General features: G+C 43.0%; 2 long non-coding RNA genes across 3 annotated transcripts in view, besides 1 other annotated feature; one reads left to right on the forward strand and one right to left on the reverse strand.

Annotated features, from left to right (window-relative positions):
- The window catches only part of LOC105378861 (uncharacterized), a 73,963-nt gene extending 61,727 nt beyond the window's left edge, over positions 1 to 12,236 (forward strand). Inside the window, exons 2-3 of the long non-coding RNA XR_001738160.3 lie at positions 10,962 to 11,052; positions 12,095 to 12,236. This is a non-coding gene — a long non-coding RNA (uncharacterized LOC105378861). The remainder of the gene's footprint in view (positions 1 to 10,961; positions 11,053 to 12,094) is intronic.
- SLC44A3-AS1 (SLC44A3 antisense RNA 1) overlaps positions 1 to 15,318 on the reverse strand; it is a 203,881-nt gene that overhangs the window by 8,478 nt on the left and 180,085 nt on the right. For both annotated transcript variants that reach the window (NR_160780.1, NR_160779.1), the window contains exon 4: positions 13,608 to 13,729. This is a non-coding gene — a long non-coding RNA (SLC44A3 antisense RNA 1). The remainder of the gene's footprint in view (positions 1 to 13,607; positions 13,730 to 15,318) is intronic.
- Positions 299 to 806: an enhancer, noted in NCBI's record as "H3K4me1 hESC enhancer chr1:95090684-95091191 (GRCh37/hg19 assembly coordinates)". NCBI's record gives its function as "activates a minimal SCP1, AML or CMV promoter by ChIP-STARR-seq in naive H9 embryonic stem cells {active_cell/tissue: H9 hESC(naive)}" and the evidence as "EXISTENCE:reporter gene assay evidence [ECO:0000049][PMID:30033119]".

Below are 15,318 nucleotides of genomic sequence, written 5' to 3' on the forward strand. Positions count from 1 at the left end.
TGTAAACTGCTTAGAATGCTGTAAATGCTAAGTGTTATATAAACAAAACGCAAAGCACCTGTAAGACAGGGCACAAGAAGCTCTAGTTTGGGACTGTCTGACAGTGCCCAAGGAGGAGAGCGAAGCAGGCCTCACGCCTCTCCGCAGACCCCGAGAGGCTCCAGCACATCAGAGAGCAGCACCAGCTCAGCTCCTGCAGCACCCAGGGGTTCCTCTGCTGGCAGGGAATGCTTTGGGGATGCAGAGACAGCTGGGGCTGGAGTGTGCATTGGAGAAAGGCCTGTGTGGGTGGGTAAGAGGCAGCTGCAGGTGGGCCGCTACTGTGAATGTAGCCTCGTCCACACCTGCTGGCTCTGAGGCCCAAGGGGCTGGGTCACAGATAGAAGCCCCTGCACAGCTCCATTCAGAGTCAAAGTCCGTTTCCCTGTAGCCCCTAGGTAGCTCAGAGAAAGGTGAGGGTGGTCTCCTGGGAGGGGCCTGAAGCGCAGCAGTTCTCCCCATCTCACCTGTTATTCTGTTAAGTTTAGTAGCTGAGTCCACTTAGGCTACTATAACAAAGTGCCACAAGCTGGGTGGTTTGTCAACAACAGAAATTTATTCCTCACAGTTCTGGAGGCTGAGAAATCCAAGATCGAGGCACTGGCAGATTTGGTGTCTGCTGAGGGCCCACTTTCTGGTTCATAAATGGCACCTCGCTGTGTCCTCACAGAGTGGGAGGGGCACGTGAGCTCCCGGGCCCGTTTCCTAAGGGCCCTCATGACCTAATTACCTCCCCAGAGGCCCCACCTCCTAACACCATCACCTTGGTGGTTAGAATTTCACCATAAGAATTTGGGACGGACACAAATATTCAGACCATAGCATTTAATAAAACTCCTCCGTTCTTTTGTGTTTCACTTCTATGGGGCTGGGCTTCTTCCATGTTCATAAATACAAATCCCAATCCTTATGGACTGTGCTCACAGGAAACCTTATTTTGAATCCTTTGGCTCACTTGTGAGGGTAGCTGTTACAACTGACAAGTGGAGTCCATGAAAAGTCAACACCAAAAGGTGGGCTCTTTGAAAAGCAGCTGGAAAAGAAAGTGGAAGAGGAATGGGAGGCCAGGCTGCATTTGAAAGGAAGGGTGTTAATTAGGAACCCCTCATTTTAAAGAGGGGCTAGACCCCTTGCTCAAGGCTTAATAAGAGGCTTCAGAACTCGTCCTGCTGGCTCCCCCCAGCCTTCACCCCAGCTCCCCTCTGTAATATAAGCAGAGAGCTAGGGAAAGAAGGAGAAAGAGGGCAAGTGTTAGTCAATGTGGTGTTCACAAGGGGAGGTGACTTCCTCCCCAAAGCTAGGTGGAGACTTGGATGTGCTCTGAGACTGGGGGTGCCCTCGGAGTAGAGCAGAACATGGTGACCCTGGGAAAGCTCTTGAAGAACCTGGCTTGTGTGCTGGGAGTTTGGAGGCACCCATGAACGTTGAGGCCAAAACCTGGAGATTTCTGAAGGCAGAAGGCCTGTGGAAGTGGCCTGGGTGGAGGAACGAGGTTACTGTCCATCAGTTGCTTGGCAGTAAGCTAATTGGCCAAGTGAGGCAATGCCCTGCCCAGAGAGGAAGTTAAAGGCACAAGCCACAATGCTGGTCAAAGGGAGATATGGCTGCCCTGAAGGGGGACTCAGAACAGGGGTATGGCTGGATACAGCTTCCAAAAAACCTTGCCCATCATTTATGATAAGATCAGTGTACCATCAAAATTTCCAGGATCATATAGACCCTGACCGAGCCAGGGTGACACTAGAAACATCCCACACAGACAGGTGGCTGGCCATGTTAGATGGTCCCTGTCCCCCTCCAACCTAAAGGCACTTAACCCATGAAAGGGAAAGTGAAGAATAAGAGGACTGACCACACACTCGACCTCCCTCAAATCCCTTGCTGAGGGCTGACTTTCCCAAGGAGAGGTAAGAAATGAGATTTAAATTGGATCCGAGGTTGGCATTTTGAACCAGACTGGGCTGGACAATGAATAAATGTGATTGTTAGATTATGGAATATACTTAAGACAGTCATTACAGGATGGGCAAAGTGGTGACTGGAGAAAGAAAAAACCTTATCATACTTGTTTCCCACCTACTTGAGACTCCTCAAGCCATTTTTGCAGCCATTAATTCTAGAAACGTTAATAATATATCTTCCTTTTGAAACACAAAATTTGGAGAAACTTAAAAATGGAGCAAGAGTGGTTGCCTTGTTTGGAGCAAAGATCTGAAAACTCTGAAACATTCTTCAAGCTTGGGGAGCTGCTTCCGAAGATTTGTTGATGCATGGTTTATTCGTTTTCTAACGCTGCTGTAACAAATTACCACACAGTGGCTGAAAACAACACAACTCTATCATCTTATAGCTCTATAGGTTAGAAGTCCAACATAGGACTCACTAAGCTAAAATCAAGATCTTAGGCCTTTCTGGAGGCCATAGAGGTGAATCTGTTTCCTTGCCATTTTCAGGTTCTAGAAGTAGCCAACATTCCCACATTCCTTGGTCCGTGGCCATTCTTCCATCTTCAAAATCAGCAATGGAAGGTTGAGACCTTCTCCCTGCACCACTCTGACTTCTCTTCTGCCTTCCTCTTCCACTTTTAAGGACACTTGTGATTACATTGGGCCCACCCAGATAATCCAGGATAATCTTTAGATCAAGTCGGTTGGCAACCTCAATTTCACCTGCAAGTGTAATTCCCCTTTTCCATGCAACCTAACATATTTGCAGGTTCTGGAGATTAGGACATGGACAACTTCGGAGAGCCATTATTCTCCTACCACATGTGGCTTGCATATTATTGAATTCAACTTAATTTAACACAAATGCACGCGATCCTCACAATAAACCAGCCAAGATTCAATCACAAGCCATCACCTTGCCTCACAGGAGTAGGGAGAAGCCCAGCTTACTGTGAACCATGAAAGAGAGGAGCCAAAAGGCTACTGGACATTGATCATGTCCGCAGGGCCAAATGAAAGCTGTTCAATCCCACTTATGCCCCGAGCAGGAGAGCCCGCAGGACACATGCCCCGCACTCACCTGCAGCGAGGATCTGAACTCCTGAGCTGCTGCCTGCCTCCACCCACATGCTCCGCTGATACCAGCACTTACCCTTTCCACTGATAAACATCTTATCAGCACGGCAGGTATCTGGCTTTCAAAATCCTAAATGACTATGACCAGTTTGAGGTGCTACAAGATGCTGCTGACTTAGGGAACAAGAAAGGTGGAGTGCCCTCTCATTAGGTTCCTGAGTGGTAAAGAGAGCTGGAGCCACCCTCCCTCCCATCTTCAGGGAGGCCCAGGGTGGGAGAGTGTGCTGGAGACTAGGACTCAGTGCTCTTAGCTGCGCCTCCTGGGATGGGAGATGCAGGCGGGGATCCTGGTAACTCTTCTGTATTTTGTCAGACTGATGTCTCATCCTCACAGCTCCTGGCTCAGGGAGCACTGACAGTTGCTATCTGGACTCCAGATATGGAAATGGGATTCTAGCCATCATTCCCTGCCATGCTGGCCCAGCCGTACTGGGCCTTATGAGTGTCCTGGAGTGTTGAGGAGGTATGAAGAGCAGAGCCCCTGTGGAGTGTCACCTCCTCACACCTTGCTGGGCCCTCTGGGGTCCAGGGAGTTCTCACCTCCATTAGGGCACCCTAGCAGGTTAGCTTGGCCCTGGGGTAGGGGCAGGGGCAGGGGCAGGGATTTGGTCCGGCATGACCCCTGGTCGTTGGAATGCTTCCCCAGAGCACTCCCTCCCTCGGTCCTGTCATTGGGGCACTTTGAGGACAGCAAACTCACTGTTAGGCCACTCTCAGCGATGGGCTCCTGGGCAGCTGAGACATCAGTGAGGGATTCCTTCCCCACTGCAGCACAGCCACCCCGCCCAGCTGTTTTATACAAAAGCTCTCATTCTGTTTAAGAAGGCTCACCAGCCTGCTGGCAAGGGTGAGACGGACTGTTAAGCCAGAACCTCAAGCTGTTGGGACTTGTTTACCCTTCTGAAGAGTGAGATGGGTCCGTTGTGCCCTAGAATCACAATACCACCTTGATTCAGAGAATGAGATGGGTCTACCCTTTCCTAGAAACACAATATGAGGCCTTGGCATCACCCTTCCCTGAGAACATTCATTCATTTAAGATGGGATCATCTTCCCCCTAAGAACTGACTGAAGACCTTCCTTCCAAAGCACAAAAATCCACAAATCCACTCTAAGCACATTTTTTATAATGAGCACTATGACTTTCATAATGGAAAAAAAAATCATCTGTATTTTTAAATGTTTGAATGGCAAGGCCATGTAGATTGCAGCCAGATGAGATCACATTCCCAATTAAAATAATCAGTTTCCAGTGTTCAGACACTTTGGTGGAGCTGTAGCCTGACAATAATTTTGCCATGGTTGTTTTAGGGATGAGTACACAGGGAAGTTTCCTACCTCAGAAAGAACCCTGGACTAAGTCGGAAGACCTGGCTGTCAACTCCAGCTCTTTCTCTTTGCCGATGTGACCTTGAGCCTTGGTTTCTCCCTCTGTCAGGTGGGGAGAGGGATGTAGCCCCACCTACCTGCCGCCTAGGGTGTTGTGAAATTCTGATGAAATAAGGCCAGTGAAAGAGTGTCATCATCAGGTGGCCCTGGAGAGGAAAAGTGGCTGAGAATCCCCTGCAATGCTGGTGATTCTATTAGGCAACAGTAGCAGAGCATGTACCTGCCCATCACTCCCGCTGCCCTCAAGCACAGCTTCCAAGGGACACCATCAGCCGGGACTAGGACTCCAATGGCAAGGCTGGGAGACTGGGAGACCTGCCTGGCCGGAGGCCGGCTGCACCACGATTTCCTTCCTGGCTTCAGTGAGAGTTTCCACCCAGTCTGGCAGTGAAGTAGTGCCAGGATCTTCTTCAGGAGCATGTTTCCAGGTGAGGAGTCATTTAGGGAACCACACCGCAGGGATCCCCCACTCTCAGCTGGACCCTTGGAGCCAGACTTGCCGACAGCCATAGAGGTCGTCATGCGCTGCCGCCCTAAGACTGCATCCTCTAATACTGCTCCTTCCCAGCCACGCATGTTGATCCTGCTCAGCAAGAATCAGAGAGCTCTGTATCTGCACTGCAAACAGCTGACTTCCTAGAGAAGTGCTTTCATGAAACTGTGTTTTAGTGTGTGATGGAATGTAGGCTTATCTTGAAGCCGAGAACAGAAGCAGCATCTGTTTTCTGAGTCTACTAGGAAGATAGTCATTGCCTTGGCCTTGTCATAAAGGCTTAGTTTCCCTTTTATCTTTGCTTTTCTCTTCACCTTTACCTAACTCACGGCATTCTGCTGCATTTTGTGTATTCTCATACACCATCCTCAGTCCTCTGTGGAAGGAAGAAGGGTATTGCAGCTGATGCTCTCAGTGTCCCACCCTTATCCCTTGGACAAGTCCTGCCAACCAATTGCCTGAACCTGCATTTGCTCCTGAGGTTTCTCCCCTCTCTTGACTAGAAACCGGGGAAGGCAGCATAGTCTAGATGCTGTGGAATGAACACATCTCCAGCAGGAGCTCTGCAATTTATATATAAATATCCCAGCTTCCTCATCCTCAGGTGGAATAATTTCTCAGCATGTGTTTTGCATCTTTCCCCAGAGTTTCTAGGGTTAAGCTCTAGTGGCTTCCTGTGGCAGCTGACTTCATAGGCTCCCTTTCCTTCTAGGGACCCCTTCCCCACTTCCTGGCAAGAACTACTTGCATTTCCCAAATACACTCTTTCTAGAAGTAGATCTTGAATCTTTGCTTGAAGATCCACTTCTAGGAGAATCTAAGCTAAAAGGGATATGAATAAACAGAAATGAATAGAAACCAGTAAAATGTCTTATATATTACAAATAATCAAATAAATGTTTGTTGAGTTAAGGAGATAACAATGCAGTGTATTCTCAACGCTTAGCGCAGAGCTGAGCGCAGAGGAGATGTTCAATAAATGCTTGAAAGGGAGGTAAAATGATCCTAGTTAAGCATAGATTGGATGATCACCCAGAGGATGTATCACAAATGGGCTTGAAGAATCATTGACTAAGTGGACAAGCCAAGCTCTGGGGATTCAGGTAGATTAGAGTTCTATAGGTATGACCTGCTACAGTGGAGGTGGGAGCCTTCTGAATGCTAAGAATGGGGCTAGCTTTGGATTTTCAGTTAGTCTTTCTTATTTCTGTAGTGAATTTTCTTTGATTATACAAAATTTATTTCAAACACCTTTACTGAGATATAATCTATACACCATAACATTCACATTTTATAGTATAATATTCAGTGGTTTTTAGTATCTTTATAGATTGTATAACTAATTCCAGAATACCACCTCCCCCAAAGAAACCTGTACCCATTAGCCATCACTTCCCATTCCAACTCCCCCAAGCCCCAGCCAAGCACTAATCTATTTTCTGTTTCTACAGATTTGCCTTTCATAGACATTTCAAATAAATGGAATCCTATAATATGTGGTCTTTCGTGACTGGGTTCTTTCACTTGGCATAATGTTTTCAAGGCTCATCTATGTTGTAGCATGAATCAGTACGTCATCTTTTTTATTGCCAAATAATATTCTATTATATGAATAGATCACATTATGTTTATCCATTCATCAGTTGATAGACATTTGGACTCTTTCCATTTTCTGGCTATCATGAATAATGCTGCTATGAACATCCATGTACAAGTTTTTATGTGGACCTATGCTTTCATTTCTCTTGAGTATATACCTAGGAGTAGAATTGCTGGGGCATATGGTAACTCTATGTTGAACTTTTTCAGGAGCTGCCAAATTGTTTTCCAAAGTAGCTGCACCATTTACATTCCCAGCAGCAATGGAGGAGGATTCTGATTTCCCCACATCCTCACTAATATTTGTTATAGTCTTTCTTTTCTAGTATATTCTCCTAGTGGGTATGAAGTGGCATCTTATTATAGTTTTGACTTTTCTCTAATAGCTAATGGTGTTGAGCATAATTTCATGTACTTATTGAACATTTGGGTATCTTCTTTGGAGAAATGTCTATTCAGATCCTCTGCCCATTTTAAAATTGTGTTACATGTGTTTTTTATTGTTGAGTTGTAAGAGTTCTTTATATATTCTAGATACTAGACCCTTATCAGACATACGATCTGCAAATATTTTCTCCCACTCTGTAGTTGTTTTTTCACTTTTTTCACAGTGCCTGTTGAAGCACAAGAGTTTTCCATTTTGATGAAATCCAGCTTATCTATTTTTGTCTTTGGTTGCTTTTGCTTTTGGTGTCACTTCTAGGAAACCATTGCCAAATCCAAGGTCATAAAGATTTACATCTAAAATTTCTTCTAAGAGTTTTTTAGTGTTAGCTCTTACATTTAGGTCTTTGATCCTTTTCAAGTTAATTTTTGTACATGGTGTAAGGTAGGAATCCAACTTCATTCTTTTCCATGTGGATATACACTTATCCCAAAACATTTTGTTAAAAAGAGTATTCTTTCTCCTAGTAAATTATCATGGCACCCTTGTCAAAATTAATTGACCATAAATGCAAAGGTTTATTTCTATATTCTCCATTTGATTTCATTCATCTATATATGTCTATCCATATAGCAGTACCACAGTGTCTTGATTACAGTAGCTTTGCAGTAAGTTTTGAAATTGGGAAGTGTGAGTTCTCTTTGTTCTTCATTTCAAGACTGTTTTGGCCATTCTGGGTCCCTTGGATTTCCATATGAATTTTAGTATCAGCTTGTCAATTTCTGAAACAAATCCAGCTAGGATTTTGACAGGGATTTTGTTAGTCTTGTATATCAATTTGGGGAGTGTATCCATCTTAATATTAAGTTATCTGGTCCACAAACATCAGATGTCTTTTCATATATTTAGACCTTCTTTCATTTTCTTCAACAGTATTTTGTAATTTTCAGTGTACAAGTCTTGCACTTCTTTTGTTAAATTTATTCTAAGTATTTTATTCTTTTTGATGGTATTGTAAATGGAATTGTTTCTTAATTATATTTTTGATTGTTGATTGTTAGTGTATAGAAACAAATTGATTTTTGTATGATCCCACAAAATTTCAAAATCTGTTTTTTTCCTCTTCAAAATCAAGAATCATTATTTCCAAGAAATGTTTTCTCCATCTTAAGGCAAGAGATTATTTGAAGCCTGCCATAGAGCACCCAAAGCTTGGGGTTGTCCTTGAGAGAAAACAAAAAATTCTTGGTGTCGGGAACTGTAGCACATGGTTTACTTAGTCTTTAAGATAAGGTAGGCTTACAGAAAGTCATGAACTTTAAAATGTCTGAGAAGTCCTTGAGCACAGAACACAGATCTGGGAGTAGTACAAACCGGTTACAAAATGAGACATTAAGCTCAAAGAGCTGGTAGTGTAATGACATGTGCAGAAGAAATGCATGTTAAAAAAAATGAAAACAAGACAAATAAATACTCTCTCAGGGGAAATGAGTATATGCATTCCACTACCAACTTTGGGCATTGGTTATGAAATTTAGAGCTTGGTTAGATTTTAGGGTCATCCAGCCTTGTCCTCTGAATTTGCAGTTAAGAAAACTGAGTCTGGGCTGGGCACGGTGGCTCACGCCTGTAATCCCAGCACTTTGGGAGGCTGAGGTGGGTGGATCACAAGGTCAGGAGTTCAAGACCAGCCTGGCCAACGTGATGAAACCCCGTCTCTACTAAAAATACAAAAATTAGCCAGGCATGGTGGTGCGAACCTGTAATCTCACCTACTCGGGAAGCTGAGGCAGAGAATTGCTTGAACCCAGGAGGCAGAGGTTGCAGTAAGCCGAGATCGCGCCACTGCATTCCAGGCTGGGTGACAGAATGAGACTTTTCTCAGGAAAAAAAAAAAAAGAAAAAAAGAAAAGAAAACGGAGTCTGGAAAGGTGAAGTGGCTTGGGGTCCTATACAGGATAAAAAGCACAGTTTGGAAACAAATTACCCAAGACATTACCACTATGAGACTTTGGGAAAGGTTGCTTAACTTCCGTCAACATTAGTTCTTCACCTGTGAAAAAGGAAAAAAAAGGATGTCTACATTGCAGACTGGTTGTAGGAAATCAGTTATTCAGTCAATAGTCTTTCCTGGGCACCTTGTGCCAGGCACTGCATTTGGTGCTGAGGATAGAGTGGAGAACAAAAGACATACAGCTCATGACCACAAGAAGAGTAGTTTCAGGATGAGAACTAAATGAGGTAGATAGGTAATAGGGTGCGAGGCTTAGCTTTTTTCCTCTGGCTCATTGTGTTCGCTCAGTTATTTTCCCAAAGGTGGGGGCCTTATTGTAGTACTCTTTTGTTTGTTTGTTTGTTTGTTTGTGACAGTTTCACTTTTATTGCCCAGGCTGGAGTGCAATGGCGTGATCCTGACTCACTGCAACCTCCGCCTCCTGGGTTCAAGTGATTCTCCTGCCTCAGCCTCTCAAGTAGTCTCAGTGGGATTACAGGTGCCCACTGCCACGCCCAGATAATTTTTGTATTTTTAGTACAGACAGGGTTTCACCATGTTGGCCAGGCTGATCTCGAACTCCTGGCCTCAGGCGATCTGCCCACTTTGGCCTCCCTTCCAAAGTGCTAAGATTACAGGCGTGAGCCACTGAGCCCAGCCTGTACTCATTTTTTGAATCCTGAGTGCCAAGCCCAGTGCTAGACACACTGTAGATTCTCAATAACTGTTGAACAAAACGAATCTTCTTCATTGTACCCCAAGTCAAAGGAGGACTTTAAACACATAAAGAAATAACAGAGTTTGGCGTGGTGAGGATGTAGAGCATTTCAGGAGGAGGTGATGACCAGCATGATAAGCCTGGCATTAGGCCAGGTCCTCGTCCCAAGCAAAAGGTAAATGTATCAGTTGAGCAAAGGTTTATTCTATTTTATTTTTAAATTGAAGCTAATCTCTTGATAAAACAAAACAAAAAAAGCTTTCTGGTCCCTTTTTCCTTCTAGTCACATTCACACGTGACTGTCTTTTCTCACAGAATAAATCAGTTTAGCTAGGAAGACTGTTTTAAAATAGAAATAAATGCACTTTATATCAACATCACTCTGAGAGAAAAATAAAAGCAAACCATCACAAGTTCGAGCCTGTCCAAACTGGGATAAGAACGATGGAGGCAATAAAATTATAGGGAGAAGGGAATTCAGGCACAGGAACAGGAGTCCAGGCCCCCAGGGCATCACTGGGGATTTCTGTATGGGAAGGCCCCCTCATTCTTCCTGCTGGGGCTGAAACAGCTTGTGGTTTGCAGTCCCGCTGGGAGGGGGCAGAGAGATCAGAAACCAGACTGGGAGCGGGGAGCAGCTGGTTATCATGAACCATGTATCAGGCATTACACAGACCAGCCAGGTCCCTAATCTCTCCTTGTCTCATAAAAATCAGCCCTCTACAGACCTTATGAGAGAGTGAAAAAAGAGTTGATGTTGAAAACAATACTCAAATGGAAAGCTAGAGGGCTGGATTTTGGATTCAACCCTGCTGCTCCTTGATTGTATGATCTTGCTGGACTTACCTCAACTCTGAATATCTGTTTCCTCATTTGTAAAATAAGAAGCTGGAACTAGATGAGGTGTGTTAAATCCCAAGAGTATTTTGTAATTTTGTAATTTTCAGTGTACAAGTCTTGCACTTCTTTTGTTAAATTTATTCCTGAGTATTTTATTCTTTTTGATGGTATTGTAAATGGAATGCCCATTTAGGGAGTAAGGGAGTAGAGGAGTGCCCCTTTACTGTATCTCATCCATGGCAGCATGACTAATCAATCGCCCCCCACTGTCCTTCCAACAAGTTGCCTGAGCTCCTTCACAGACCAGTGTTGCACAGAACCAACACCAATCATTTGGAACTGGAGTGCAAAATACAGCTTACTTGCCATCCTCGAACAGATGTACAAGGCTTTCTTATGTGATTCTAAATCATTTTCTCTAGGTTTGTGCAGGCTTCCCACTGCAGCTGCCATGCAGCAGAAACTGAATGATTCCATAAAGTCAAGAAATAACCATGATGGCTCTTCGTAAGCGTAAGCTTGGTGAATACTATTATTTTGGTAGAGTATTATTTTGGTAGAGGACTCCCAACACTGCCGTCATGCAGTGAGATCTTGCTGAAGGAAGGGGATCTCATGGGATTGGGGTCTGGGAAGAGGTTTGAAAAGATAAGGAAAGTTCCACTGAGGACTAGAGGAAAGGGTAAAATGACAATACCCTTCTTTGTGGGTCACTTCATAGTTTACCAAGTATTCTCATGTCCACTGTTTGCTTGTGCTTCAAGTCAGCCTTTTGAGGTAAGTGTCCTTATCATTGTTTCTCAGAGGAAGACATAGAGGTTCACAGAAATTAGGTAACTTATCCAAAATCACATAGCTACTAAGGAGTAAAGCCTGGGCCTTCACTAAATATGTAAATGTTGCTTTCGGCATCTGGCCATGACCCTCCCTCTCTACCGCAAGTCTCTCTAGCAAGCTGCTTTCCAGAGAGGCAAAGCTGTTCCAACAATCATGGTTTGACAGAAGTCCCTGACAGAACAGAATATCACATGAGTGATGGCAAACCTTTTTTTTTTTTTTTTTAAATATACCTTGGCTTGACATTAGAGTAGTAATAAGCTCTAAAAACAGTAAATTCATCATGATTCTTGCCCACAGGATGAGAGAGCATGCATGGAAAAGAAACATTCAAGTTTGGAATCAGAGTTTCCAATAACTAAGGTTTTGGAATCACCCAGAATATCCATAAGCAGGATTCCCCCTAGATTTGTGATCTTATTTCCAGGGAATTCCTGGTTTGGATTATAAGTGAAAGTCAAATCTGTTTCTGACCAAGTTTTGGCTTTGATATCCTTAGTGAGGTACTCCCTTTTCCCAGACCCCCAGGAATTTAGCGCCCTAGTCCTGAAACTGGTGACTGGGAACACTTGGAAATTCTTGTGATTGAGCAACTGAGGACTTCAAGTAAACCCCTAGCAGTCAGGACACACCCTGTGTGTGAGTTAGTCCTGAGATCACTGAAGGAAGTTTAAATTCTGGTTCCAAGAAAGTGCCTGTTTATCTTTGTGTATTACAGGATCACTGGAGGTCCAGGGCAGTGTTCCCGGCCTGCCTCACATAGGACGGTGAGGGGTGAGTGGGTTTCACTACAAATAAAGATCTTCAAGTGAATATTTAAATAATGAAATTTCTTCCAATAAAATTTTTCTTATATCTTATTCATATTATTTTCTTCAACTACTTATTTAGCTTGTGAAAATAATAACTATTTTAGTTAATTTCCTTTACTAGGCCCTCAAACAAAAATCACATCTGTGATAGAAAGTGCCTAGATACTTGCTTATACCCTTGTAAACCACACTCCTTTTTAGACTGGGAGATGGAAAAGGGGGCAGTCATGTCCCTGCATCCCAGCCTGCGGACCCAAATCCCTGCTGATGGGGAGGGCCAGAAAATGACAGCAGAAAGTGGGATGCTTCCAGATGTGGCAGGGTGTGGAGTTCTCGGTGTCACAGCTTGAACTTAGAAAGCACAGACTCAATAACAATGGAGGATCAACTGTGGTTTCAACACAAAACTCAGAATCTAAGTGCTTAGAATTACTATGGTCTTAGAGATAGACTGTTAGTTCTTGTTGCATACAAGGTTGTTTAGGGCAAAATGACGGGTACATATACAAAGTAAAAGACAGCATCCTTTCCCTTGAAAAACATACTGACGGTCAGGGTATACAGAACACATAAACATGAAACAATTGGAGAATGATAGACAAATGTCCCAATGCGGAATAAATCAGACAGAAGGAGCAGAGGCAATATGACCGTGGAAGGGGATCAGGTCCCCAGGCTGCATGTACGTTTTCTCCCTACTCTGTCCCCATTGTTCTTTGAGGACATCTGCCCCATCCTAAAGCATCCTAAACCTAAAGTCTTCACTTATTCTTTCTCATTTTCTTTTCCCTAACGAATATTTCCACAGGTTTCCAGCAAGGGCAGAGTATCATACGTTAATTAGAAGATAGAGAGAGATGCCCAGAAATAGCAAATAATAATATAATAGAGAAATAAATATAATATATTGATGATAAGAGAAACAACAGAAGATACAACATATCAGGGGTAAAAGAGATTAAGAATCAACAGCGTATTTTATAAAGAGAATATCCAGCTGACCAATAAACATATGAAAAGGTGCTGAACTTCACTAGTCATCAGGGAACTTGCTATGATCTGAATGCTTATGTCCCCCCAAAATTCACATGTTGAAATCCTAACTCCCAAAGTGGTGGTATTAGGAGCTGGGGGTTTAGGGAAGTGATTAGGTCACAGAGGCAGTGTCCTCATAATGCAACTAGTCCCCTTATGAAAAGGGCCTGGCCGGGCTTAGTGGCTCACGCCTGTAATCCCAGCAGTTTAGGAGGCCGAGGTGGGTGGATCATCTGAGGTCAAGAGTTTAAGACCAGCCTGGCCAACATGGCAAAACCCTATCTCTACCAAAAAAAAAAAAAAAAAAATCAACACACACACACACACACACACACACACACACACACACACACACACAAATTAGCTTGGTGTGCTGGCACATGCCTGTAATCCCAGCTACTTGGGAGGCTGAGGCAGGAGAATTGCTTGAACCTGGGAGGTGGAGGTCGCAGTGAGCCAATATCGTACCGCTGCACACAAGCCTGGGTCACAGAGCAAGACTCTATCTGAAAAAAAACAAAGAAACAAACAAATAAGGCCCAGGAGAGACCCCTTACCCCTTCCATCATGTGAGGGCACAGCAAAAAGGCGCCACCTATGAGCTGGAAAGTGGGCCCTCACCAGATACTGACTGCTTTAATCTCAGACTCCCAGCTTCCAGGACTGAGAAACAATTTTTGTTGTTTATAAGCTGTCAGCTCAAATGGACTACAATAGAACTGCAAATTAAATATCTCACTGTTATACTACCACACATCCAGTTGAATGGCAAAAAGAAAAAAGACAGGCAATACTAAGTTTTGGTAAGGATATGGAGTAACTAAAACTCTCACATACTTATGATGAGAATTTAAGTTACTATCTCTACTAACAAAATTGAATACATATGTACCCTATGACCCAGCAATTCCACTCAACTGAAATGTTCATATATGTTCACCAAAAGACATGCAAAAATGTACTTAGGAGCACTATTTATTATAGCCCCAACTAGAAACCACAAATGTCTGTCAACAATAGTATGTATAAAGGAATTATGGTATATGTATATGATGGAACCCTATACAGCAATGAGAACGAATGAATCTTAATTCCAACTCTGTGAAACACCGTGATGAATCTCACTCACAGAGTGAATGTGAGAGAAATAAACCAGGCACAAAACAGTAGATACTACAATTTTCTTTCTATAAAGTTAAAAAACAGACAAAACTTATCAGTTAAAAGTCAGAATAGTAGTTACCCTTGTTGGGGACAGTGACTTAAAGAGGGCATGGGGGAGCCTTCGGGATTCTGTCACTGTCTGGTTCATCATCTGGGTACTGGTTATACAAGTGCGTTTTCTTTGCAAAAATTCAGTGAGCTGTACGCATTTGATCTGTGCACTTTTCTGTTTGTATATCTTCATAAAATTATGAAGATAAAAATCAATGGTGCATGCAAGAGTAAAGTTGGACTCTTACTTCACACCATATAAAAAATTAACTCAAAATGGACCACAGACCTAAATATAAGAGCTGACATTATAAAACACTTAGAAGAAAACATAGGTATAAATCTTCACGAACTTGGATTTGGCGATGGTTTGTTAGATATGACACCAAAAACACAAGCAACAAAGAAAAAGATACATAAGTCAGACTCCATCAAAATTGAAAACTTATGTGCTTCAAAAGGCACTATGAAGAAAGTGAAAATATAACCCACAGAATGGGAGAAAATACTTGCAGATCATATATCTGATAAGAATCTAGCATCTAGAACATATAAAAGACTCTTAAAAGTCAACAATAAAAAGACAAATAACCAAATTTTTAAATGGACAAAGGATTAAATAGACATTTCTTCAAAAAAGATATACAAATGTTCAATAAGCAATGCAATGATGCTCAACATCATTAATCATTAGGGAAATGCAAATCAAAACCACAGAGATACCACTTCACACACAGTACCATGGCTAACATAAAAAAGACAGATCCAGACAATAACAAGTGGTGGTGAGGACGTGGAAAAATTGGAACTCTCATACATTGTTGGTGGGAATATAAAATGGTGTAGCTGCTTTGGAAACCAGTATTGCAGTTCTTCAAAA

Source organism: Homo sapiens, chromosome 1 (genome assembly GCF_000001405.40).
Source record: "Homo sapiens chromosome 1, GRCh38.p14 Primary Assembly".
In the NCBI taxonomy this organism is placed as follows: domain Eukaryota; kingdom Metazoa; phylum Chordata; class Mammalia; order Primates; family Hominidae; genus Homo; species Homo sapiens.